This window comes from Homo sapiens, chromosome 5 (assembly GCF_000001405.40).
Source record: "Homo sapiens chromosome 5, GRCh38.p14 Primary Assembly".
Classification (NCBI taxonomy): domain Eukaryota; kingdom Metazoa; phylum Chordata; class Mammalia; order Primates; family Hominidae; genus Homo; species Homo sapiens.
Window position 1 is genome coordinate 79,647,501 of NC_000005.10, and position 27,363 is coordinate 79,674,863.

The 27,363-nt window shown below is 34.8% G+C and overlaps 1 protein-coding gene across 82 annotated transcripts in view, besides 1 other annotated feature; it reads left to right on the plus strand.

The window, feature by feature from the left end:
* Nucleotides 1-27,363, plus strand: part of TENT2 (terminal nucleotidyltransferase 2) — a 75,806-nt gene that overhangs the window by 35,060 nt on the left and 13,383 nt on the right. For 70 of the 82 annotated variants that reach the window (XM_011543221.4, XM_047416850.1, NM_001388126.1 and 67 more), the window contains 4 exons: nt 1,117-1,193; nt 1,562-1,690; nt 9,458-9,501; nt 21,392-21,528. In XM_011543221.4, coding sequence (XP_011541523.1) covers nt 1,117-1,193; nt 1,562-1,690; nt 9,458-9,501; nt 21,392-21,528 — 387 coding nt within the window. Of the gene's footprint in view, nt 1-1,116; nt 1,194-1,561; nt 1,691-9,457; nt 9,502-21,391; nt 21,529-27,363 lie in introns of those variants that run through there. The other 12 variants (XM_047416857.1, XM_047416856.1, XM_047416859.1 and 9 more) reach the window with 3 other exon arrangements.
* Nucleotides 24,852-25,425: an enhancer, noted in NCBI's record as "NANOG hESC enhancer chr5:78968175-78968748 (GRCh37/hg19 assembly coordinates)". NCBI's record gives its function as "activates a minimal SCP1, AML or CMV promoter by ChIP-STARR-seq in naive H9 embryonic stem cells {active_cell/tissue: H9 hESC(naive)}" and the evidence as "EXISTENCE:reporter gene assay evidence [ECO:0000049][PMID:30033119]".

Genomic DNA, 27,363 nt, shown 5'->3' on the forward strand with positions numbered 1-27,363 from the left:
TCCCAAAGCCAAATAACGTATAATATCTGAAGTGTTAATACTACTATCCATTTTTATTAATATGCATGGATAATGGAAAGATTGTAAGATTTTCTTTTGTTCCACCAAATAAGAAAGACTGAAATGGTAGATTTCAAATTTTATACTTAAAAGCTATAATTAATATAGAAATATTTTGTTTTTATTTTAGACAGTCTTTTCACAGAAAAAATTAGTATTTAGAAGTTGGGATCTCGCATAGGTATGAGTAGAACTGACTTACATAAAGTAATCCTTAATTTTTTATGAGTTTAGCCATTTTTTATACATTGCATCATTATTGCCGTATTTTCTAAATTATGAACTGCATATATTTGCTTTCAAAGAAGTAATCATTATGTGTTTGAGTAGTATAGATAGCTCTTCCCAGGTATCAATAGCCAAATTTGACATGATACTGTAATTTACTAGCCTTTTTAGAGGAAATATAATGTGTAGACAGAGCTTTTAAATTATTTCCCCTGTATTTAATTTGGCTTTTTATTCCTGTTGTTTTAAAGTATATGATGCTATAATTCCAGATTATTTGAGAGTGTATAACTTAATGGGATAACTTGCTCAGAAATGTTTTTGGTCACATAGTTTTGTTTATCTGGAAACTTGTGAGATTTAAAAATTTTCGGCTGGATATGGTGGTTCCTACCTATAATACTGGTGATTTGGGAGGCTGAGGTGGGGGAATTGCTTGAGCCCAGGAGCTTGAGGCTGGAGTAAGCTATGACTGTGCTACTGCACTCCAGCCTAGGCCACAGAGCGAGACTCCATCTCTTTAAAGAAAAAAAAAAAGATTTAAAAATTTTATTTGGGGTAATTGGAGCCTTAGCAGTATGTTACTGATCTTTCCACTGGAATCTTATTTTATATTTTCAGTACTCATCAGATCACATTGAAATAACATACTGAGTATTTGTTCATTCTTATTTCTTTAGTGTGTCATTTTAAAAACACAGATCTATGGCCTTTGGGCCCATACTATTTTGCATCATGGGATGGATGAGCATTAATTTAGTTATTAGGAAGGAAGTTTTTTTGTTCTTCAGCTAAAGTTTATTTATTTATTTATTTTTTCTTAAATAGTTGTGTGGAGTTTGACTTGAATGTAAACAATATTGTTGGAATAAGAAACACATTCCTTCTCAGAACTTATGCATACCGTAAGTTTGTTGTTTGTTTATTAAAAATTAGCCTTTTTTTCTTTATTCATTTTTAAAGATGTTTGGCATAAATAGTGACATCTCTTTAGTTGTGTTTAAGTATAGTGTATCTTATTTTATTTGTATATGTTGCTACACTAAAATCATATACTGTCAGTTATAGGTGAATCAAGTGGCATTTTAATAATTGATAATTTTTAAAAGGTAACTAAGGTAAGTTTTAGACATAAGACACAAAGTGAACAGACACAGTGTTTAATATACACGGAGACAGTGTTCTTTGTTTTGGTATGGAGCTGGGAAATGATGTAAACTTTCAAAGAAACTATAACGTCTCTTACCATGTTAAGTTTTAATTTTACTTTCAGTTGAAAATCGAGTTCGTCCGTTAGTGCTGGTGATTAAGAAGTGGGCAAGTCACCATCAGATAAATGATGCCAGTCGTGGTACTTTAAGCAGCTATAGTCTTGTATTGATGGTTTTGCACTATTTACAAAGTAAGTATAATGGGGTTTTACCCAATTTTTAAAAGTAAAAGACAGCTTTATTATGGTGTCTTCTCTGTTGACCCTATTTTCAAATAGTATTGTTTTAAAAGTTCTTTCTAAGGTCCATGAAACACATTTCCTGTTTTGTTGCTTTGGACAAATGTTTCAGAAGTGTTATTCCTTGGAAAATATAGAAGTTTCACTGTTTTTTTTTTTATTTTTTGGAAGTTTTTCTATAGTCACTTTTGTTTTCAAAGAACTTTCACCACTGTATTGTGGACCCATTATCTTGAAGCAGACGAATGTTCAAAAGGCCTATAAAAGTTAGCTCAAGTACTATTCATCATATTTTTAATTTTGAATTTGAGACAGGAATTAAATTATTTTCCTGTTGGTTAAAGAAGCTTTTAATCTCTGAGTTGCCCTCCTTAACTAGATTTTATCTTCATAGGGCTGTTTTATCAGATTGGCTCCCAAATTTTAATTTTGTCTGGTTAGTCATTGTTTATGAGGCCATTCTGGTAAAAGCTATACTTTTGTCGCATGCATAGTGGCAAACAGTAATAAGTGAACACTTGTAATTTGGACCATTCATAAGTGTGAGAATTTTTACGGTACTGAAAATTTCCTAGACGTATAGGACAGACTGACTGGATCTATTTGAAACCCTTACTTTCATATTTCTCAAAAATATCTTACATATGTAGCAATCCAAGAAATAAACATTAAGCTGCTTTATACTTTCTACTTAGCCTGACACCAAGAGTTGTTAAAAGATGGATGCATCTACTGTTTTGTAGTTATTAGACCAGGAGACTGAGATGTTTAATAACTAACCAACTGAACATATGAATATGTGGTGACATGAAGACCGAGTGAAAGACTTGGTATGAATGTAGTAGAAGACCGTTTGCCAGGATGTCTGGGGCTTGATCTGTTCTGGGTTGGTGATACTTCCACAGTTTAGAGTCTTGGTTTCCAAAGATTACAATAATAGGAGAAAACATATTTTAGCATATATAATACTCATTTCTTCATTCTATGAATATGTATAGAATACCTACCAAATAAATGCTAGGTATTCTAGGATCTGAGAATACAGCAGTGAACAACATACAAAAACAATTACCTTCTTCATGAAGCTTACATTTTTGACTTGTAAAATGTCACATTTTCATAGCTGTTACCTACCAAAACGTGAATTATTAAACAACTCACAGATTACTAATAAAATGTGACATTTTTACCACGGTTGTGAATTGAGCTGCTGATAGAGCACTATCAACATGTGATATGCTCAATAATAATTATTACAGTGTAGTCATTAAAAAAAAGTATTGAAAAATATCCTTTTATTGCATTGTTTGGTGCTCCTTGTATTTAGATTCTGAGAGGGATAACAGATAATATTAGCAATTTTGTCAACAGCAGCTTGGGCTTGGAAAGTTGAGATGATTTGATGCCCTTATAGCTGTGTTTCTGTACTGAGGATACTGGGAACTGGGAAAAGAAGAAGGCACCTTTCCTTATGCTATAGATCAAAAATGGTTAGGGTTGGGGATTACAATTTTGTTAACCTAATTCCTGGTAGACTGGGCTTCTTTGGATAGGGATTGGAGGATGATACCCAAATTGAGAATTTCTTTATAGTGAGTCACTTTTACTAGTATAGGAGGATAGATAGAAGTGGTTGGGACAAAAACAAAGATTGTCTTACCAATGCCTTAAAAAAGAGCAGTTCAGAGGTGAGATTGGTTGTCAGGAATTCTCTATTTTGTTTCAGAATTATTATGTTTAAAATAATACTTAAAACGTAGTGATATTAAAAGTTATTTTACATTTTAAAATTCATTTTGAATAAGTTGTGTATACATTTCATAGAAAATCCTGAGAATATACTAAAGTGGACAGAAAAAAAATACATTTCCCATGAATTTTCACACCCAAAAATTGTTATTGTTAATATTTGTTTTATTTTTTCTGGCTTTTGTTTTTTTTGCAAAGGTTTCAAGATGTTTAGCCAAATATAAATACATAAATGTCAAGTTCAGGTCTTTTAATTCCAAAAGTTGGGGACAAATAAATAACTGTAAAGGGTGGATGTTCTTTTTTCCTCTACAAAAACATGGTCTTCTTAAATAATGTTCTTACATTTTCTTTTACCTGTTCATTACATGATTCTCAGACTTTTAGATTTCAAGGAAAGTAATATCCAAAAAAAAAAGAACCAAACTGGAGTTTTTATTTTGCTATGTTAAGTATTAGAACCAAAAAACTGCTACCAATTACTACCATCACTTCATAAAAGATGGTGCATAAAATACCAAAAAAGCAATGATATAATCTCAGAATAATGGACAGACCATCACAAAACAGTCTGATTGTTACACCCTTTCCACTTTTGGCACACACACACACATTTTGATTTTTTTTGTTTATGACAGCTTAGTAACCTTTCCTCTATGGTGGAGAATTTGGGGAGCATTTTTTCATATTTATCTTAATTGAAGTAGTCTTAGAGCTAGCTAGTTCTCAAGAAAATCTTGATTCTACCTTTAGACACATCTTCATCCCATCTTTGTCTGGAGATAGGGTGCCATTATTTGACTAAAGTGTTTATGTTAATGTTCTTAATTTCATAGTGTGTCAACCTTGTCCGTTCTTGGTAATCAAAGTTTTATGGTATACTCCTAGGGTGAAATTGGCATTCTACATTCTTGACAGAATATAATCTTATACTCTGTCCTGTTACTTACAGAATTTCACTTGAACATGTATTACAGATGTAGGGATTAATATTCTTAAATTGGCAGTTTTTAATAATGACAAAATGGAATACACAATCATGCTGAGAGTGTTGATTTGGTACAACTCTTTTAGAAAGCAGTGTTGTATATTTGTGTTCATGTCCTTTGACTCAGTTATTTCATTTCTAGAAATTTATCCTAACGTAATAATGAGTGGTACATATATGGATGTACATGTAAAGCTATTTTTTTATGGTGTTACGTAAATAATAGAAGATTAGAAGTACTCTTAAATTTTCTAGAATAGGGGAATGGTTAAATTAATTACGATATACCCTAATATGAGATCTACATAGCCACCAACAATCATGTTTTTAATATATTTAATGATACAAGAAAATGTTCATGATATATTCTCATACATCATAATACCAATTTTATTTAAAGATAATAACTGTGTATATATATTTGTATATATACAAATACTGAAAAGGTAGGTGCCAAAATTGTATCAGGGTTATTTGTGGACAGTTTAGCAAAGTTCTCTGTACTTCACTATACTTGCAGATGTTTTATAATATATGAGAGTATATTTTCCTTTGGATGCTGGTCTCAAATGATTTTTTTGACTTATCGAGAGAGACAAAATAGTTTAAATGGGCCATCATTTTATGAATCAGTCATTAGAGAGGTTTGATAATCTTCTTTAATGTTAAAGTAGTTCAGGCTAATCTTAATACATGTATTTTTATTGCTGACCAGTCTTGAATATATACTGGTTTGATGATTGATTTGCCCCTCTAAAAAAATTTGAAACATATGACATTGGCTGTTTTAGATAATACTTTGTGTCATTAATCATTTTTGTCCAATTTTACAAAATATATGTCAATCTTGAACATATATTACTTTATAATATATGTTACTTTATAATATATGTTCAGGTGAACTCTTAACATATTTTTTTCAGTGAACTCTGTTCTCTTGTGGGTTACAGTTTACTTTCATTAAAAATGGAATAGGATTTCTTATATATATAAAATATAAAAAATATGTGGCACCACCATTCCCTATTTATATTTTAGTTGTGATTTAAAAATGAGATTTGACTAAAGCATTTAGCATACATGATCATCCATAATATGTGCCCTACTCCTTAATTCTTACTGGTTACCTTAGAAATTTTAAGTTTGACTGACTTCTTTAGAAAAATGTACGTAAATCACAGATGCCCCAATGTGGTATTGAAAGCAAATTAAAAATTTTAAATTAGGGCCAGGCACAGTGGCTCATGCCTGTAATCCCAAGTGCTTTGGGAGGCAGAGGTGGGAGGATTGCTTGAGGCCAGGAGTTTGAGACCAGCCTGAGCAATATAGTGAGACTCCTCCATCTACAAAAATAAAAAATGAAAAAAATTAGTTGGGCATGGTGGCACATATCGTTAGTCCTAGCTACTCAGGAGGCTAAGGTGGGAGGATTGTTTGAGCCCAGGAGTTTGAGGTTGCAGTAAGCTATGATTATGCCACTGCATTTCAGCCTGACCAGCAGAGTGACTGTGTCTTAACAAAACAAAAAAATTAAACATTGCTATTTTGCCAGTCTGATCAAATCATATTAAAATTTAGTTTAGACTTTGCCAAACATTTTATTTTTGACAGAGTAGTCCCATTTACTGAAGTGGTTTATAATTAATGGCACTGCATTCAGCCATTCCTAGGTCTTTCTTGAAGGACATTAGCTACCCAGAGCTAATGTGTATCTCTATACTGGCAAATTTAAGCTACTCCTCCCTAGAAGAAATGAGATGATTAAAATAGTTGCTTTTCTTGGCAGTATCACATTACTGTGAGGGAAAAGGGCAAACAAGAGTCTGCAAGGTGTATTGAGTAGTTACAGCTCTGCCACAAAAAACTAGTTTTTGTGACTTTGGTGAAGTTATTGTACCTCACTGGCCTTAATCTCACCTGTAACACAAACAGTTGGATTAAATGACCTTTACGTTTTGTTTAACTTCTTAAATGCTTTAATATCTTTTCTGCCATAAGCAGAGAAAGGAAATAGGTCCTCTGTATGTAGAAAAGGTTAAAAAGATTAACACATTTCCTAGAATAAATTCCAGTAGTCAATAATTGACTACAGATACTTGAAAGATGACTCATCAAAGCATGAGGGGGAATTGAGAAAGGATTTTAATTATAATTTAAGAGTTAATGAAAAAGGAGGCCGGGCACGGTGGCTCACGCCTGTAATCCCAGCAGTTTGGGAGGCTGAGGCGGGTGGATCACTTGAGGTCAGGAATTCGAGACTAGCCTGACCAACATGGTGAAACCCCGTCTCTACTAAAAATACAAAATTAGCTGGGCGTGGTAGTGCACGGCTGTAATCCCAGCTACTTGGGAGGCTGAGGCAGTAGAATCACTTGAAACCAGGAGGCGGAGGTTGCAGTGAGCCTAGATTGTGCCATTGCACTCCAGCCTGGGCAACAAGAGCGAAACTCTGTCTCAAAAAAAAAAAGTAATGAAAAAGGTAAGATCATCAATTGGCTAGAAATAATAACATTAATGAATATTCATGGAATGTTTACCATATTCCTAGGCATACAGAGCTTTCTGGTAGACATTTTAAAATTGTCTTTGCAGAGCCTGGCCAACGTGGCGAAACCCTGTCTCTACTAAAATACAAAAAACTAGCTGGATGTGGTGGTGCACACTTGTCATCCCAGCTAGTGGGGTGGCTGAGGCATGAGAATCACTTGAATTCGGGAGGTGGAGGCTGCAGTGAGCCCAAATCGTGCCACTGTACTCCAGCCTGGGTGACAGAGCGAGACCCTGTCTCAAAAAAAAAAATTAATAAATAAGTAAATAAAGTTGTTCTTGCGCTTTCAAAATTAATGATTCTTAGTGTGATTGAAGACCTGCTATTTAAAATTTAAATTTTTGGTACATCTATATGGAAAGTTTATGGGTATAAATTTGTGGGGTCTCTACCAGCAAGCTGTTATGGAAACTATGGGCAAAGTAAAATTTTGTAGATTAGCTGTATTCAAGGCATTACCTATTAATCATGTATTCTGATAATGAGCTTTTGTTTTGTTTTTACTTTGCCTTTGAGAGAGAAATTTAAAAGACTGAACCTGTAGTCCAGAATTCTGAAGTTAAAATAGTTGTTATAGTCAGATTTTTCCAGAATTTACATTGCTTGAAGTAAGATAAACATTTTAAAAACTACTAAACTCATTGAGACTAATATCAGGATATTGTTAATAAATAACTTCTGCAGTACACTAATTGCTTCTCTGATGACTAGTGTTTATAAATCTTTTAAAGTTGTAACATAAAGAATTTACTTAATGATAACCCTGCCTCCAAAAATTTCCAAATTACTGAGTTCTAAAAGCTTTTTTGTCCATTGAAAGATCCTCAACCAGTGGCTAGTATTTGTTTTTGTCTCCTAGCATTCTAGTTATGGTACCAGAATGAGATAAAGGTTTTTTATTCTAATTCTCTATAATCTTCTCTTCATCCTTTGTTTTATTATATTTTTAGTATACTAGAGTATTGAATGGGAAAGGTATTCAAGTTTTTAAGTAAGCTAATTTATTGTAAGATTTTCCAATTTGACTTCTGTATTATAACCAAAATTACTAGAAAGCTATTAAAAAGTCTTATACAAATAGAGAGACATTTAGAATTAAAGTGAGTGGGGTTTGAGTTTACTTGGCAGGTCTTCTAGAATGTTGAGTATTTGAATGCCTCTTAGGGGAAAGGAATATATATATCCTTACTTTCTAAGAGTGATTCTGGTAAGTAATGATTGAGTTTTTTTTTTTTTTACTAATATTCTCAGTCATGTACTGAGAACATGCACACATACCATGGAATTTTATTTTATGCCAGTTTTCAACATGGGGATGAAATGTGATACATAAAGGAAATTTAAATAAAGCATCCTACTTTGTACTGCGTGGTAAAAATTTATACCCTTTTAATTATAGTTGGAGACCGTGTAAGTTGGTCATAATGGTTCATTACATTTACATTAATAGATTTCAGAAGTCATTTTTTAAAGTTTTTGCTAAATCATACATTAAAAGTGAATTAATATGCTTTGTTATTGAGTTTATGTAGTTGTTATACATAGTGTATTCCTAATTCTTAAATCCTTCCTAATTCTTAAATTTGAAAATGTATTACTTGTATTTTACCATACTCATGACATTATATTTTACAGTTATTTCTTATATTGTGAATGTTAGGCACTTTACCTTTTTATATTGTTCTTTTCATATTAAAACAATGTAAAATTACTGTTAATTAATGAGATTGGATTTGTTTAAAACGATTGGTGAAGGATGACACAAATATGGTGATAACATGAGGATATAATTTCTTTGTATGAAATTTTATTAATAGCAGATTGTGCCCTTAGTTTTCTGACTTTTGCTGAGCATTCTTTAAAAATGTACTAATGAGGTTAAAGATTTTTCTTTCATTTTTATTTGATTTTTTTTGTTGTTATTTGCAGTATATCAGTTTTCCTGAACGATTTCAATTTTGGTATTGTTAGTGGAAATTAAATAATAAAGGGACAATTATGAAAGAACTATTTTTATCTCCTAGTGTCATTGAACTGTATTTTTAAAATTGTAGTTTTTGATTGCTACATCCATCTTAATAATGTCTATTCAGTATCTGTAGAGCAATCCTTGTCTTGCTTATTGTGTGTGTATGTCTGATGTTGGACAAATTATGTATGTCCCTTTATTGATAGCCTATTATTCTAAAACCATGTGAGGAACATTGATTTACATAGGGATATATGTAGTTTATTAATAAAACCTTAGTTTGTCAACTTAAATATATTTTAAATACAAACTTAGGGATAAGAATTAATTTCATGAAATATTTGAAAATTGTTGAATTTTAGCATAAACCCTTATGGTCTTATACCTGGGATGTAGCTGACAAATTATTGCATTGTAAAATGAGTCACGTGAATCACGGAAGCTTTAAACTTTTTCTTTTTATAGCCCTACCTGAACCCATCCTTCCATCCCTCCAAAAAATTTACCCAGTAAGTGTTTCTTATAAATTATTATAATACATTTTATGTCAAGTGTATGTAGAACTATTATAAGTAGTATTAATGTGATTATAAAAGTAGTAAGGCTAAGTACATGATAACATTTTCTATATATACCAAGAGAACATTTAAAATGTTTCATATACTGTTTCAGAAAACTCTCTTACTTGTTATTTTGTTATTGGCAGACAGTCTGGTCAGTTGTGTTAATGGTGGAATTTGTTTTGCATGATGCTCAAGATTATCACTAATGGAGATTAAATATACTCAGTTGCCCATTTGGCCTTATTCCAGTTTTCTTCCTACTATTTTAAAATATAGCTTCACAGCATTTCTTTAGTTAGTAACTCAGAAATTTTTTGGCCCAGTATATTTATACTTTGAAAAGCAGGGGGAAAGAAGTTGGACAATTGGATAATCTTTCTATCTTTAATTTGATCTTGCTAAGTAATACACCACAACAGGTAATATTAGTACATGGTTCTTGTCTGCATAATACTATGAATCCTGCTGACATTAATTGGAAACATTCAAGAAATGAAGTGTGGCCACTAGAAAAAATTTAATATGTACTTAGTTTGAGTTTAGAGACACATAGGTTATGTATGTATTCATAATCTATAAGAATCCTTGTGTTTCTTTTTCAGTTTTCATGTATTCTTTCTCCAGAATTCTCTGTTTCTTTGTTTTATATCATTAGTGTTTTCCTCCATAGTCATTCTTTTTCCTGCATTTATTTGGAAATAATATTTAAGCTACTTGTTTAGAATGTTTGACTACTCTTCTGAAACCACGTAATTTTTACATATTGGTTTCATATACTTATAAGAAGAGCTGTCTTCTAAACTTACTAAATGGTCATATTTCAAAGAGAAATATCACCAGCTTAGATGATTAATTTTCAAAAAACTTATTTATTGTGTCACACAAAATATAACAAATTTACTTGACATGGAACATCAGTTAAATATAGTTTAATATCTGATAATTGAGAAGAACCAATGTTCTTGGTTTTGAACATAAGTTATTATTGTAATGCACACATGCAAGGTGCTGGATAATAAACGTTCATTTTAATACAGCCCTGCTGTGGTGGAGATCTCACATTCTGTGGAAGGTCATCTGCTAGGAGAGACTGTATAACAAGAGCCTTTTAGAATCTTGCTATCTCATCTTCCTTTTTTTAAACTAGTTTCTGCTATTATGAAGAATTATTATAATGAGTTTCCAGTATAGCTAAGGATCAGTCTTTATGGTCTCTTAAACATTATGAAAAATGAAAGAAAGAACAGAAATAGAGGTAACTTGAACTTTTTGGCCTTATTCTTTTGAATCTTTTTATTTATTCTTTTTTTTTTTTTTCTTAGAGACGGTCTTGCTGTGATGCCCAGTTTGGTCTCAAATGCCTGGCCTCAAGCGAGCCTTCTACCTTGGCCTCCCAAAGTTCTGGGATTACAGGCATGAGCCACTACACCCAGCCTGTTGGCCTTAATTTTGAATGTTTTTCTCTCTCCATAAAGTATTGACTCTCTTGTTTGTACTGAAAGGTCATATTTCATTTTATTGACCCAACCTCATCTTGCTTTAAGACACAGGTGTCAGTGTAGAAAGAGTTGCATATGTTCTTTAGCAAAGGAGCTAATAAACTTATCCCAAAATAATATTGTGTATTGAAAAATGCTTCTGCAGCAGTCTCACTTAAAACCCTATGCTACATGAAGCTCTTTTTACTAATATAGGAGACTGGCGAAATATCAGTGTACTGTGGTTGGGGTCAGAGGGAATGCTTTCATAATACTCAGATTCTTACTGACGGCCCCATTTTCACTTCTGTGTTCTGTTTTTCTTATTAGCTTTCTCCCATGACAGAGTCCTGACTTCTGTTCATATCCACTACCTCTGGCCCTATGCTTTCCATCTGTTTTGCTTGTAAGCTTATTTCTATACCTGTAATGGGGAAATAGATTTAGCCCCAAGGCCTTAAAAAATACTAATAGCAAGACCTGCGAGATTAGGAATCTCCTAATTTGCATTTACATATGGTTACATTGCCATCATAAATATTTAATTAATTTACCTTTACTATAAGATTTTTGTTTACATGGATAGGGACTTACTACCTGTTCTCACACAAGATTTTTTGTTTTATATGAAACCTGTAGGCTGGTCAGCAGAACACATTTTTAATGGTCCGTCTGATGGAACAAACAAGTCAGCTTGTTTGCTATTATTAATAATAACCATCCGGGCGTGGTGGCTCACGCCTGTAATCCCAGCACTTTGGGAGGCTAAGGTGGGTGGATCACGAGGTCAGGAGTTAAAGACCAGCCTGGCCAAGATAGTGAAACCCCGTCTCTACTAAAAATACAAAAATTAGCTGGGCATGGTGGCAGGTGCCTGTAATCCCAGCTACTCAGGAGGGTGAGGAGGAGAATTGCTTGAACCTGGGAGGCGGAGGTTGCAGTGAGCCCAGATTGCGCCACTGTACTCCAGCCTCGGCGACAGAGCGAGACTCTGTCTCAAAAAAAAAAAAAAAAAAAAAAATGTATATATATATATATATATATATATATATATATATATAATAGCCATCGTTTATTTAGTATCCATTATATATGTCAGCATACTGTACATTTTATACACAATTTAAAAAATCCTGAACAAATAAACTTGCAAGGTATTATTCCTCTTTCACTAATGAAGAAACTGTTTTAGAAATGTTACATGATTGATACAAGTGGTACTAACAATTTTTCCATTATACTCTTTCTTGGGGGAAGGCAAAATTACAGTAGTATTCACTAACATTTTATCTAATTTCTGTTGCTTATTACATTTTATTTGTATACATCTGATTGTTCATATACAGATATACCTTTAAGGGCAGCAGTTACGGCAGAATTTCAGCTTGTATAAATAAGTTTAAGATAAGTTAACAACAACGAAAAAACAACTTTGTTACTTTACAAAGGAAACCGCGGAGTTCTTTTAAATTTCTAGCTTCTCTAATACAAAATAGGGTTTATTTTTAAAATAAGAGAAAACAGTTTTGGAATGGAATAAATTTGTTCAGTATACTATGCTTTTTAGTCATTTTCATATTTTCAAAATTTATAACATTTTAAATATTTTTAAAATTGGTATATTTCAGTTCAGTTGTGATATGAAAGGGATAAAAGGCTATAAACATCATTGTCTCTAAAAACTGTATTATAGTATAGAATTACTGCTTATTACTAAATTCTTATTGACTTAACGTAGCTGATGGAGGGGTACGTTATTCAGTTGAATAAATGAAGCTGAGAAAGTTAAATATATAAACAGATTGAGCTTATGAAGGAATCTTTATTTTAATGCAAGCATATTACTATGAGGGTTAACTTAAATTTATGCTAGGTAGATTTATCAATACAACTTGTGTTTTTTAGCTATTTGTTTCCTTCGCTAAAAGTATCTTTGTACTCTAGGAAACATTTATGTTAATACAGTTGCAAGAAAATAACCCTCTTCTTTTTAATAGTTATGAAATAAAGAATTCTATAGCTCTTCTGTGTAGTTAAATGTTAAAAAACACCTTAAATTATACATATATACATATACAGTAATGTGCTGCATAATGATGTTTTGGTTAATGACAGACCACATACATGATAGTGGTCTCATAAGATGGTGATAGAGCTGAAATATTCCTGTCACTTGGTTTTTGCTGTACTATACTTTTTATCATTATTTGTGAGTGTACTCTTTATGCTTATTTAAAAAACAAGCTAACTATAAAATGGCCTGATAGGTCCTTCAAGAGGTATTCCAGAAGAAGACATTGTTATATGAAATGACAGCTCCATGCATGATATTGTCCCCAAAGATCTTCCAGTGGGACATGATGTGGAGGTGGAAGACAGTGATAGTGATGATCCCGATACTGTGTGGGCCTAAGCTGATGTGTATGTTTGTGCCTTTGTTTTTAACAAAAAAGTTTAAAAGGAAAAAAAAAATTTAAAATAGAGAAAATCTTATAGAATAAGGATATAAAGAAAGAAAATATTGGTATCGTTGTGCAATGTGTTTGTATTTTAAGCTGTGTTGTTACAAAACAGCCTAAAAGTTAAAAAGTTTTTAAAATAAAGTAAGCTAAGGTTAATTTATTATTGAAGAAAGAAAAATTTTAAAATAAACTTAAGGTAGCCTAAGTGTACAGTATTTATAAAGTCTACAGTAGCGTATAGTAATGTTCTAGGCCTTCACATTCACTCACTACTCACTCATTGACTCACCCAGCAACTACCACTTCTGCAAGCCCCACTCATGGTAAGGGTATACTGTTTTTTATCTTTTATACCATGTTTTTAGTGTACCTTTTCTATTTTTAGATATGTTTAGATCCACACATACTTATCATTGTGTTACAGTTGCCTACAGTATTCAGTATAATAACATGCTGTACAGGTGTGTAGCCTGTGCAGGCATACGTTTGAGGTGTTGCAGGTTTGGTTCCAGGCCACCACAATAAAGTGAGTCACATGAATTTTTTGGTTTCCCAGTGCATATAAAAGTTACACTTACACTATCATGTAGTCTCTTAAGTGTGCAATAGCATTATGTCTAAAAAATGTACATACCTTTGTTTAAAAATGCTTTATTGCTACAAAATGCTAACAATCAGCTGAGCCTTCAGCACCAGTTGTGGAGAGTCTTGCTTTGATACTGACGGCTCCTGACTGATCAGAGTGGTGGTTGCTGAAGGTTGGGGTGGCTGTGGCAGTTTCTGAAAATAAGACAACGGTAAAGTTTGCCACATTGATTGATTCTTCTTCAAAAAGATTTCTCTATAGTGTATGATGATCTTTGCTAGCATTTTACGTACAGTAGAACGTCCTTTAAAATTGAAGTCAGTCCGCTCAAACTCTGCCACTGCTTTACCAGCTAAGTTTATGTAATGTTCTAAATCCTTTGTTTATACACTTAGAAATATTATCCCTCTTTCACTAATGAAAAAACTAAGTCTTAGAAAAGTTACATGGTTGTTCCAAGCAGTACTGGTATTTTGTTGTCATTTCAACAAGATTCACAGCATCTTCACCAGGAGTAGATTCTGTCTCAAGAAACTACTTTTCTTTGCTCATCCATAAGAAGCAGAACTTCATCTGTTAAAGTTTTATCATGAAATTGCAGCAGTTCAGTCACATCTTCAGGTTCCACTGCTAATTCTAATTATCTTGCTGTTTCCACCACATCTGCAGTTACTTCCTCCACTGAAGTCTTGAACCTCTCAAAGTCATCCAAAAGTGTTGGCATTAACTTCTTTTAAACTTCTGTTCATGTTGATATTTTGACCTCCCATGAATCATGAATGTTCTTAACGGTATCTAGAATGATGACTCCTTTCCAGAAAGCTTTCAATGTACTTTGTCCAGATTCATTAGTGGAATCACTATCTGTGGCAGTTATAGCCTTGTGAAATGTATGTCTTAAATAATAATACTTGAAAATGAAAATTACTCCTTGATCCGTGGGCTGTAGAATGGATGTTGTGTTAGCAGGCATGAAAACATTAATCTCTTTGTACATCTCCATCAGAGCTCTTTGATGAGTAGGTGCATTGTCAATGAGCAGTAGTAGTAGGTCTCAACAGTGGGCTTAAAATATTCAGTGTACCGTGCTGTAAAGAGATGTGTTGTCATCAAGGCTTTGTTTTTCCATTTATAGAGCACTGGCGGAGTAAATTTAGCATAATTCTTAAGGGCCCTGGGATTTTGGAATGGTATATAAGCATTGGCTTCAACTTGAAGTCACCAGCTGCATTAGCCCCTAACAAGAGTCAGCTTGTCCTTTGAAACCTTGAAGCCAGGTATTGATGTCTCTTCTGTAGCTGTGAAGGTTCTAGATAGCATCTTCGAATAGAAGCCTGTTTCATTTACACTGAAAAATCTGCTATTTAGTGTAGCTGCATTCATCTGTTGTTCAGTGTAGCCATGTTAATTTAGCGAGATAACTTCTGGATAACTTGCTATAGCTTCTTCACTTGCTGTTCACTTTGTAATTTTATGTTACGTAAATAGCTTCTTTCCTTAAACCTCATAACCAGCCTCTGCTACCTTCCAACTTTTCTTCTGCAGCTTCCTCACCTCTGTCATCCTTCATAGAATTGAAGAGAGAGTCTTGCTCTGGTTAGGTTTTGGCTTAAAGAAGTATTTTGGCTTGTTTGATCTATCCAGACCAGTGAAACTTTCCATATCAGCAATAAGGCTGTTTTGCTTTTTTATCATTGATGCGTTCACTGGAGTAGTACTTTTAATATCCTTCAAGAACTTTTCCTTTGCATTCGCAGCCTGGCTGTCTTTGGTGCAAGAGACCTAACTTTTGGCTTGTATTGGTTTTCAACATGACTTCTTCACTAAGCTTAGTCATTTCTTGCTTTTCATTTAAAGTGAGAGATGTGTGACTTTTCCTTTCACTTGGTCGGCCATTGTAGAGTTGTTAATTGGCCTAATTTCAGTATTGTTGCATCTCAGAGAATAAATAGGGAGACCCAAGGAAGGGGAGAGAGATGGGGGAATTGCCTGCCAGTCAGTGGAGCAATTGGAATACACATAACATTTTTGATTAAGTTTGCAGTATTATGTGGATACCATTTGTGGCACTCCAAAACAATTACAGTAGTAACATCAAATATTACTGATCACAGATCACCATAAGATACAATAATAATGAAAAAGTTTGAAATATGAGAATTACCAGAGTGGAACACAGAGACCTGAAGTGCGCACACGCTGCTGGAAAAATGGCACTGCTGATAGACTTGCTAGATGCACCGTTGCCATAAACCTTCAATTTGTAAAAACTGCAGTATCTTCGAAGTACAGTAAAGTGAAGTGCAACAAAACGAGGTGTGCCTGTATATATACAGTGGGCGCTCTGTATGTGGGTTATGCATCCATAGATTCAACCGACTACACATCAAAAATATTCAGGAAAAATAAAAATACAACAATAAAAGTAATACAAATAAAAAATATAACAACTATTTAGATGGAGTTTATGTTGTATTAGGTATTGTAAGTAATCTAGAGATGATTTAAAGTATATGAGAAGGTGTACATAGGTTATATGCAAATACTTCACCATTTCATATAAGGGACTTTAGCATCCCCTGGAGCCCTGGAACCAGTTGCCTAGGAATACCAAGGGACAACTGTACACACATATATATAGCAACTTTTTCATTTTAAAAATTGACCTAATGTAAGGAAGGGATCCATCAATTACCTGAAACAGGCTATAAATGAATACTTTTGAAAAGATTTAGCCAGCCGTGGTGGCTCATGCCTGTAATCCCAGCACTTTGGGAGGCCGAGGCGGGTGGATCACAAGGTAATGAGATCGAGATCATCCTGGCCAACATGGTCAAACCCCGTCTCTACTAAAAATACAAAAATTAGCCGAGTGTGGAGGCACGCGCCTGTAGTCCCAGCTACTCCGGAGGCTGAGGCAGGCGAATTGCTTGAACCCAGGAGGCGGAGGTTGCAGTAAGCTGAGATCACGTCACTGCACTCCAGCCTGGGTGACAGAGTCTCACTCTGTCTCAAAAAAAAAAAAAAAAGAGGTTAACAAATTTTGGTGGAGATATTTTTTTTAATGGTTATAAAACATTGTTTTAAAGTTGGCACTACCTGAATTTTGAAAACGTAGAAAAATTAATTTGGAAATAATACATGAAAATTTTCAGGAGGTAACCACACTGTATTGTATAAATGTGCAATAATAATGATATGTGGCATATACTAAACAGTTAATAAATCCTTACAACCATCTGAGTATTTTTCCTTTCCTTGTATTATAAATGATGAAGCTGAGGAACGCTAAGTAACTTGATTAAATGCCTGCAGCTAATAGAAGGGTGATGCTTCACACTTCAGTCTGACTTCAAAGCTAATGCTCTTAGTCACTTCATTATAGTACCTCTACTTTATGTTATATACTTACCTTGATCTCACAACTTGTAAAATCTACTAAAGTCAGATATAATTAAAGGAAATTTTATGGTGAATCTTTAACATACATCACCAGATTAATGATGACCTACCTGCGTGCAATTCAGATATCTTTGCAGAAACTTCAAGGTATCACTTAGTTCTTTTTCTTTTCAGGCAGAAGTATTCCCTATCAGTTTTTCTTTTCCTTGTAACCTTCTTTAACATACATTTCTAGGATCTCATAATTCATATCATTAGGAAATTATGCTTAATCTCTTTTAATAACGTAAATTTCTGTTTACCTGGAGATGGAAAGTGATCATCTTTGACTTAAGCCTTTCATCATTTAAAGAACGGTTTTCAAATAGAAGGTTAGCCATTCTAACTTATTCCAGAAAGCGCTTAATTGTCCACATTTCAGACTTTGAAGGTAACGTAAGATATCATGGGACAGTCTCAGAAAAAAATGATGGAATCTGGCAAAAGGTATTTTTGCCATTATTATAGACAGTTCTATGAGCAGAAGTGGTGAGAGTTCTCAGATGTTTTCCAAGGGATTTTCTATTTAATTTTTTTTAACTTGAAGAGAAATGAAAGATTACGTGTCTTCTAAAGGATCAACATTTAAAAATCATTTGGAAAATGTTTTCAGGAGTTAACAGGTTATACATTTGATTATCAGAAGCCCAGAATAAGATACCAACCTAAAAAATATAATCTTCCCTCTATATAGGCACACAAGCAACAGTAAAAATTTGTAACCCAAAAATTTATTTATTAAAGAGGTGGATGTTATCAGTTTAATTGCTATTCTGTGGACTGACTTTGTAATTTTAAGGCTGCTTTTTTTCTCTTTGACTTTTTGGTTGTTCTTTATGTACTTTCTAAAATATTAGTTTAAGTTCTGAACCCCCTTGTCCTATCTGAAGTAGCATGTATTTTTCTTAAATACATAACTAAAGTGGGGAAGCACCCTTTTAAAGAAATTCTTTTTTTTTTTCTTTCTTTTTTTTTTAATGAGACGGAGTTTTGCTCTGTTACCCAGGCTGGGATGGAGTGCAGTGGCGTGGATTCGGCTTACTGCAACCTCCACCTCCCGGATTCAAGCGATTGTCTTGCCTCAGCCTCCTGAGTAGCTGGGATTACAGGCGCCCGCCACCATGTCCAGCTAATTTTTGTATTTTTAGTAGAGACGGGGTTTCACCGTGTTGGCCAGGCTGGTCTCGAACTCCTGACCTCGAGGGAACCGCTCGCCTCGGCCTCCTGAAGTGCTGGGATTACAGGCATGAGCCACTGTGTCAGGCCTTAAAGAAATTATTTGTTGAAATTTTAAAGCAAAGAATCTTTCTGTAATGTGAATGATCATTAAAAACTGGGGATGTCTTTTCTTTCTTTTTTTTTTTTTGCGATAAGGTCTTGCTCAAGCTGGAGTGCAGTGGTGCAATGATGAGCCCTCCTGGGCTCAGCTGCTTCTCTCACCTCAGCCTCCTGAGTACCTGGAACGACAGCAGTCATCACCATGCCCAGCTAATCTTTCTATTTTTTTTAGAGATAGGCATCACCATGCCCAGCTAATCTTTCTATTTTTTTTAGAGATAGGGTCTCAGTAAGTTGCCTAAGCTGGTCTCAAACTCCTGGGCTCAAGGATTTCATAATTCATATTGCTATGAAATTAATGTGTTTTATTTGATAATAACCTAAATTTCTTTCTGTTTGCCTGGAGATGGAAAGTGATCATCTTTCACTTAAGATTTTGAAAAACAGTTTCCATATAGAAGATTAGCCAGTCTAACTTACTTCAGAAAGTGCTTAATTGTCCAAAGATTGATCCTTCTGCCTTGGCCTCCCAAAGTGCTGGGATTACAAGCTTGAGCCACCATGCCTGGCTTAGGGGATTTCTTAAGGATAGATAGAATTACTGTTTACTGGTAGCTGCCTTTAGGTGTCCTCATTTTTTCAGTTTTGGTTTGGATTTCTGCTTCAGTTCTCCCTCAATAAGCATGACCTGACTCTTTGTGTGTGACCGTGAAAAAGAACAGTGAAGCTAAGAGAAGACTGGCCAAATTGTCGGTCTCAGGTCATTCAGCATTTTAATGGAGTGGATCTCACGACTCTTCAGTTCTTAATGTCATAATTGCTGACCTTTTTCTTTAAATTACTGAACAAAATAAAGATTTTAAAGGAAGTACAATCATTTTTAGACTTCAGATAAGAAAGTGACTTCTGTTTTAGCATATTCAGTTCATAAATTGAATGCTAATTGTGCTTGGTGCTAGGAATCAAAATTAGTAAGAAGCTTTCAGAGCGGGAGCTATTAAACAGTGACCTACTTATTTGATCTACATTATACCTTTTGTTTGATTTGCCAGAAAATAACATTTAAATTTTATAATTTTAAATATTGTCACCCTAAGTTCAATTTTATACCTAACAAGTAAGAGTTAAAGGGGAATAGAGGCACTGCATCTATTCTTCCTTCTGCCTTTAGTCTTTACTAATTGAGGTTTCTTTCCTACCCCCTCCACTTTTAGACATTAAAATTTCTACTTGAATCTTAAAATGTAATTAATACTACAGCTGTTAGAAATGTAAGGGGAAAGTCCCATGTTGAGGAGTATCAACTTTATGAATTTGGTTGGAATAGAATTTTTATTCTGAGAGAAAGGTAATCACTTCATAGTAGTTAACAATTATTGATAGAATTATAGGTAATGGAACAAGGGAGGAGATATTTTTGTTTTCTTGCTCCTTTGTTTTTATTCATATTTTGGGGGCACTAGCATTAAATGATGCACTATGCAATTTCTCTACTACCATTATTTAGAGAGTCTCCATTTTTTAACTTGGCATTATTTAGATGTCTTTAATTACATTAGTATCTATAAGCCCAGGATTGAGGGGTTTGGAATCTTAACCGTAGTTGTCATTCTGCTGCCTTAACTAATTGCTTTTTTTTTTTTTTAACGAAAAAAAAAAATCCATTTCTATTCTGACGGCAGTGGAGAAATACAGAAAACCATCCTTGATGGCACTGTGCAAATTACCTTGCATTATTTTCTAATTGATGTATATAAATGACTTAATAATTTTGATAGTACATTTAGTATATTCGAGAGCCAGAACTTGCTGTTAATAGAGGAAAAATGGATATGAAAATGAATGGGATAACATAGGAAAACAGAATAAGTACCCGTTAGTATTCTTTCTAATAGGCGTCTTTGTTCCTGGATTTCAGGCAAATAATATCCTCTTTTATAAATATTATGGTAAAAGCTTGCTGAATATTGCTTGTTGGTATGTTTCCTGTCTCATTTTCCCTGCCTTCTTTGTCTTTTCAAGCTTAATTCAGGTTGAACATCTCTCTTCTTTTCCATCTAAGATACAGAAACAAAAGAAAGCAAAATTTATAAAATCTTAAAATTAGTATAAGTACTATTTCTATATTAAAGTTACTCTTACGGCCTTTGGGAGAAGTTTGAAGTGACAGAAAAAACTCTTACTTTGTGCTTGATATAGCCTTTATACATGAAGTATAACTGCTCCTTGTAGGAATAATTAAGAATGAGATAACCTTTGTGAAGAAATCTATATGGTATTGGGTAGATCTTGGTTTGTATAGTAAGGTTTTATTTATGAGTTAGAAAATCTTCTGCTAAATAGCGATCTGTTTGGTTAACTGAGTGATATACTCAAGCCAAGGATTAGAATGTTAGTTTTTCAGGTACATTCTGGTCTACTGCAAATACTGGTGAAGTCTTTAGTGGAAGAAAAATTTCAGGTTTCCAAATTGCCAAATAGAGTAAATTTCTTCTCTCTTTTTCAAAGAGGAGCCTAGTTCAGGATTTATAAAGTTTCTTAGTGTGTGTTTTAAATGGCTTTACATTTTTTCCCCTTCTTCTTTTTGACAGGAGTCTTTTAGTCCTGCTATACAGCTGCACCTTGTACATCAAGCTCCATGTAATGTTCCTCCTTACCTCTCAAAGAATGAATCAAACCTTGGGGACCTCTTACTGGGCTTTCTTAAATATTATGCTACAGAATTTGAGTAAGTAAAACTTTAAATTGTGTTTGTTCACTTATATGTGTGTGTGTGTGTATGTATGTATATATATGAATACGAATATATAAGTAAATGCTACAGATTTAGTCAGGAGCTGTGTTTGTCACTTCCAGTGTTGTAAAGTTGTCCAGAAATGTATAGTTTATAAAATTTCCTATGTGACAATGAATTATTGGAAGCTAGATAGATTTTATATTCTTAGCTAATAAATACATTTATAGTTCAGTAGGCCCAGTTTTAGTTGATTTCAATAGTGGTAGGCCCTATGTGTTGGTCCTGTGCAGGTGCTGTGTAGTTTGGAACATCCATTTTCTATACACTTAAAATGTATAGTAAAAAAACACTGCTAAGAAAGACTAATGAAGATCTATTTAATACTTGGCATCTTCGTAAATAGTTGTGTTAGTGTGATATACAAATTGAGGAATGTGTCTTTTCCTTTTTTCTTTTCTTTTTTGAAGATGATATGTAAACATAAAACAAAGAATGTATAATCAGGCTGGACAGAACTGAAAGTTCTTATGTGAGTTCTAAGTCCAGAGAGAGTGGAGTTAGGAGTTACTTGCAGCTCTTCTGATCAATCTGGAAAAGCTTGAGGGGGGAAGAGAGAAGATTGAGGAATTGTACAGTATTAGAGGCAGGTACAGTTACCATTGGATACCACTTTGAAGAAGTTTGCATAGGGTAATAATAATAGTAATAATAATAATAAATTGCTATTACTAGATGGGAAAATGGTTCTAAACATATATTTATTATATTATTATTTATATTTATCATTTCATTCCGTTTACATAATTGTTATCTGGTGTGTGGTATATTATGCCCATTTTACCAGTGAAGCATAGAGAGAGGGGAAGTAACGTGCTCCAAGATCACATAGCTAATAAGAGTAGTATTTCAGGCCGGGCGCGGTAGCTCATGCCTGTAATCCCAACACTTTGGGAGGCCGAGGCAGGTGAGGTCGCGAGTTCGAGACCAGCCAGACCAACACGGAGAAACCCCTTCTCTACTAAAAATACAAAATTAGCTGGGCATGGTGGTGCATGCCTATAATCCCAGCTACTTGGGAGGCTGAGACAGGAGAAACGCTTGAACCTGGGAGGTGGGGGTTGCAGTAAGCTGAGATTGTGCCATTGCACTCCAGCCTGGGCAACAAGAGCGAAACTCTATCTCAAAAAAAAAAAAAGAAAAAAGGATTTCAGATAGCTTTGACACAGAATTCACACTTAACTGTCATACTGGAGAAGTATAAAAAGGTAAGAGCTTTTATTTATTTATTTATTTATTTATTTTTTTGAGACGGAGTCTCACTGTGTTGCCCAGGCTGGAGTGCAGTGGCGTGATCTCGGCTCACTGCAACCTCTGCCTCCCTGGTTCAAGCAATTCTCCTGCCTCAGCCTCCCAAGTTGCTGGGACTACAAGCACCCGTGACCACGCCTGGCTAATTTTTGTATTTTTAGTAGAGATGGGGTTTCATCATATGGGCCAGGCTGGTCTCAAACTCTTGACCTAGTGATCTGCCCGCCTCAGCCTCCCAAAGTGCTGGGATTACAGGTGTGAGCCACCGTGCTCGGCCACGGAGCTTTCATTTATATTAAGATGAAGAAAGATTAAAGACTGGATGAGACATAGTACATAAATAGACTGTGAAGGTTTAATGGTTATTCTAGAGTTCTCTTTAAGATATTGCAATAACAATAGCTAATGTTTAGTGAGAATTTATCTAGTGTGCTGTAGTAAGCTGAGTGATTCCCATGGATTTCAGTTAATCCTCATAATAACCTCTGTCAAGCTTAGGGAATTTGTGTACATGAAACTTGCCCATGGCAATCTACAGCTAGATTGTGGGAGAGTTGGGATTCACTTTCAAGCTGGACTCCAAAACTACATTCTTAATTGTTAGACTGTATTGACATTGTTTATTATGTTATATAAATTAGGGACTGGGGGATGTTTGTGGAGGGGGAAAAGGATTCACAGAACAAAGATAACTTTTTTCCCATGTATAGTGTAGGATTAGAGCATCTGTATACAAATACCTTGAAAATCACCTGCTTTGTTGAACAGAAACAAGATAGTGGATGTGTAGGTTTGTATGTTAATTTAATATTAAAGGAAACTAGTCTGCTGGGTCAGATGATACTGATGCTTGGAAAGAGGTTTCAGAACTTCACCATCTAGTACATTTGTCATTTCATATGAGATATTTTCAGAAATTTGAAATGTGGGGATCACAGCCAAGAATGTAGTCATGGTAATAAACTAGAAGCTGTATAAAAGAATTATGGCAATTGTTAAAAATGTCTATAAGGATTTCTTCTGAACTTTGAGGTAATCATTTAAAAAGTTCTTTTTTCTTTTTCTTTTTTTTTTTTTGAAACAGAACCTTGCTCTGTTGCCCAGGCTGGAGTGCAGTGGTGCGATCTTAGCTCACTGCAACCTCCGCCTCATGGGTTCAAGCAATTCTCCTGCCTCAGCCTCCTGAGTAGCTGGGATTCCAGGTGCGTGCCACCATGCCTGGCTAATATTTTTTTGTATTTTTAGTAGAGATGGGGTTTCACCATATTGGCCAGGTTGGTCTTGAACTCCTGACCTCAAATGATCCACCCATCTCGGCCTCCAAAAGTGCTAGGATTACAGGTGTGAGCCACCGCGCCTAGCCAAAAGTTCTTTTTTCTGAAAGACAAAACATTAAGTGACTGTTAAGGGATGCTTGAGTATATGGTATAAATGTTGCAGAAGTTTTATATGGTCATTTAAAAATTACTATTTTCGGCCGGGTGTGGTGGCTCATGTCTGTAATCCCAGCACTTTGAGAGGCCATGGAGGGGAGATCACTTGAGCCCAGAAGTTTGAGACCAGCCTGGGCAACATGGCAAAACCCCCTTTCTACTAAAAATACAAAAATTAGCCAGGTGTGGTGGCACATGCCTGTAAACCCAGCTACTTGGGAGGCTGAGGCACAGGAATTGCTTGAACCAGGGAGGTGGGGGTTGCAGTGAGCTGAGATTGCTCCACTGCACTCCAGCCTGGACAATAGAGTGAGACCCTGTCTCAAAAAAAAAAACAAAAAACTATTTTTCTTACCTACTTCACTCACACCTTGCTGCTGAAATACTTCTGTTTTGTTACTTTTTGTGGGTACATAATAGGTTTGTATATTTATAGGGTATGTGAGATATTTTGATATAGGCATACAGTGCATAATAATCACATCAGGGTAAATGGGGTATCCATCACCTCAAGCATTTATCGTTTGCATTACAAACAATCCAGTTATCCTGTTTTAGTTATTTTTAAATGTACAATTAAATTATTATTGACTATAGTCACCCAGTTGTGTTATCAAATATATATCTTATTCGTTCTATTTTCTTGTACTCATTAACAATCCCCACTTCCGCCTCTCCCTGCCACTGCCCTTCCCAGCCTCTGGTAACCATCATTCTAGTCTCTTATCTCCATGAGTTCAATTGTTTTAATTTTTAGATCCCACAGATAACTGAGAACATGTGAAGTTTGTCTTTGTGTGTCTGGCTTATTTCACTTAATGTCCTCCAATTCCATCCATGATGTTGCAAATGAGAGGATCTCATTCTTTTGTATGGCTCAATAGTACTCTATTGTGGATAAGTACCACCTATTATTTATCCATTCCTCTGTTGATGGACACTTAAGTTCCTTCTAAATTTTGGCTATTGGGAATAGTGTTACAAAAACATGAGAGTGCAGATATGTCTTCAGTATCCTGATTTTCTTTCATTTGGGTATATGCCTAGGAGTGGGATTGCTGGATCATATGGTAGTTCTACTTTTAGTTTTGGGGAAACCTCCAAACTGTTCTTCATAATGGTTGTACTAATTTACATTCCCACCAGCAGGGTATGAGGGTTTCCTTGCCAGCATTCATTGTTGCCTGTCTTTTGGATAAAAGCCATTTTAAGTGGGGTGAGATGATACCTCATTGCAGTTTTGATTTGCCTAAGTCTGATGATTAGTGATGTTGAGCAGCTTTGCATATACCTCGTTGCTCTTTGTATGCCTTCTTTTGAGAAATGTCTGTTGAGATCTTCTGTCCGTGTTTTAATTGGATTATTAGATTTTTTCCTATAGAGTTGTTTAAGCTCCTTATATATTCTGCCTATTAATCCTTTGTGAGATGAGTAGTTTGCAAATATTTTCTCTCATTCTATGGGTTTGTCTCCTCACTTTGTTGATTGTTTCCTTTGCTATGCAGAAGCTTTTTAACTTGATGTGATCCCATTGTCCATTTGCTTTGGTTGCCTGTGCTTGTGGAGTATTACTTAAGAAACCTTTGCCCATACCAATGTCCTGGAGAGTTTCTCCAATGTTTTCTTGTGGTGGTTTCATAATTTGAGGTCTTAGATTGAATTCTTCAATCAATTTTGGTTTGTTTTTTGTATATGTCAAGAGATAGGGTTCTAGTTTCATTCTTTCGCATATGGATATCTAGTATTCCCAGCACTATTTATTGAAGAGACTGTGCTTTCCCTAGTGTATGTCTTGGCACCTTTTTTGAAAATGAGTTCACTGTAGATGTATGGATTTATTTTGGCATTCTTTATTCTGTTCCATTGGTCTATGTGTCTGTTTTTATGCCAGTCCCATGCTGGTTTGATTGCAGCTTTACTGAATTTGTTTATCATTTTAAGATTGGGATAACTTCAAGATATTCAAGTGGAGATACTGAGTAGACAGTTGGATATATAAGCCTAGAGTCAGGAGACAGGCCACAGAGCTAAATATTTGGGAGTTGTCACCAGGTAGATGGTATTTAACGCTATGAAACTCCTTGAAAAAAACCAAGGGAGTGAATATATAGATGGAAAAGAGAAAAGGGCCAAGCATTGGGTACTCTAATGTTAAGAAGTTTACAGTTTACAGTTAAGAAGTTTACAGGAAATGCAAGGGATAAAGGAATATGTATTGTTAAATGACACAATAAACAGAGAGACAGACAAATGCAGAATGTAGGCATTCTGGGAAATACCTGGCCTAATCTCCTCAAAAGTCAGTATCATTAAAAACAAACAAGGCCGGGCGTGGTGGCTCACGCCTGTAATACCAGCACTTTGGGAGGTCGAGGCAGGCAGATCATGAGGTCAGGAGTTGGAGATCAACCTGACCAACATGGTGAAACCCCATCTCTACTACAAATAAAAAAATTAGCCAGGTGTGGTGGCGGGCACCTGTAATCCCAGCTACTCACGAGGCTGAGGCAGGAGAATCGCTTGAACTCAGGAGTTGGAGGTTGCAGTGAGCCGAGATCGCGCCACCGCACTCCAGCCCTGGGCACTGCACTCCAGCCTGGGCGACAGGGCGAGACCCCCTCCTAAAAAACAAACAAACAAAATGTGAGGGGAACTTTATTAGATTTAAAGAGATAGAACAGTCATATACAATGCATGAACCTTTATTATAATCCAGTTGGGGTGGGGGAACTATAAAAGGTATTTGAGTTACTGTTAATTTTCTAATTGCTGTTGGTGTTATAAAGGAGAATGGCTTTATTCTTAGGAGATATATACTGAAGGATACAGAAATGAACTTTGATGTGTACCGGTTACTAAGTGGTTCAGTTCAAAATACACACACACACAAATGTGGCAAAATGTTAACACTTGTTGAATTGTTTTTAAATTTTATACTTTTAATTTTTTTTGTATTTGAAATTTTTCATAATACATAGATGATATAAAAATGAGATTGGGGATGAGAAGGAACTAATATATGAGTCTATCTAGGAAGAAAGAATCATTGAGATAGGAGGAAATCCAATGGAATGTGGTATCTTGG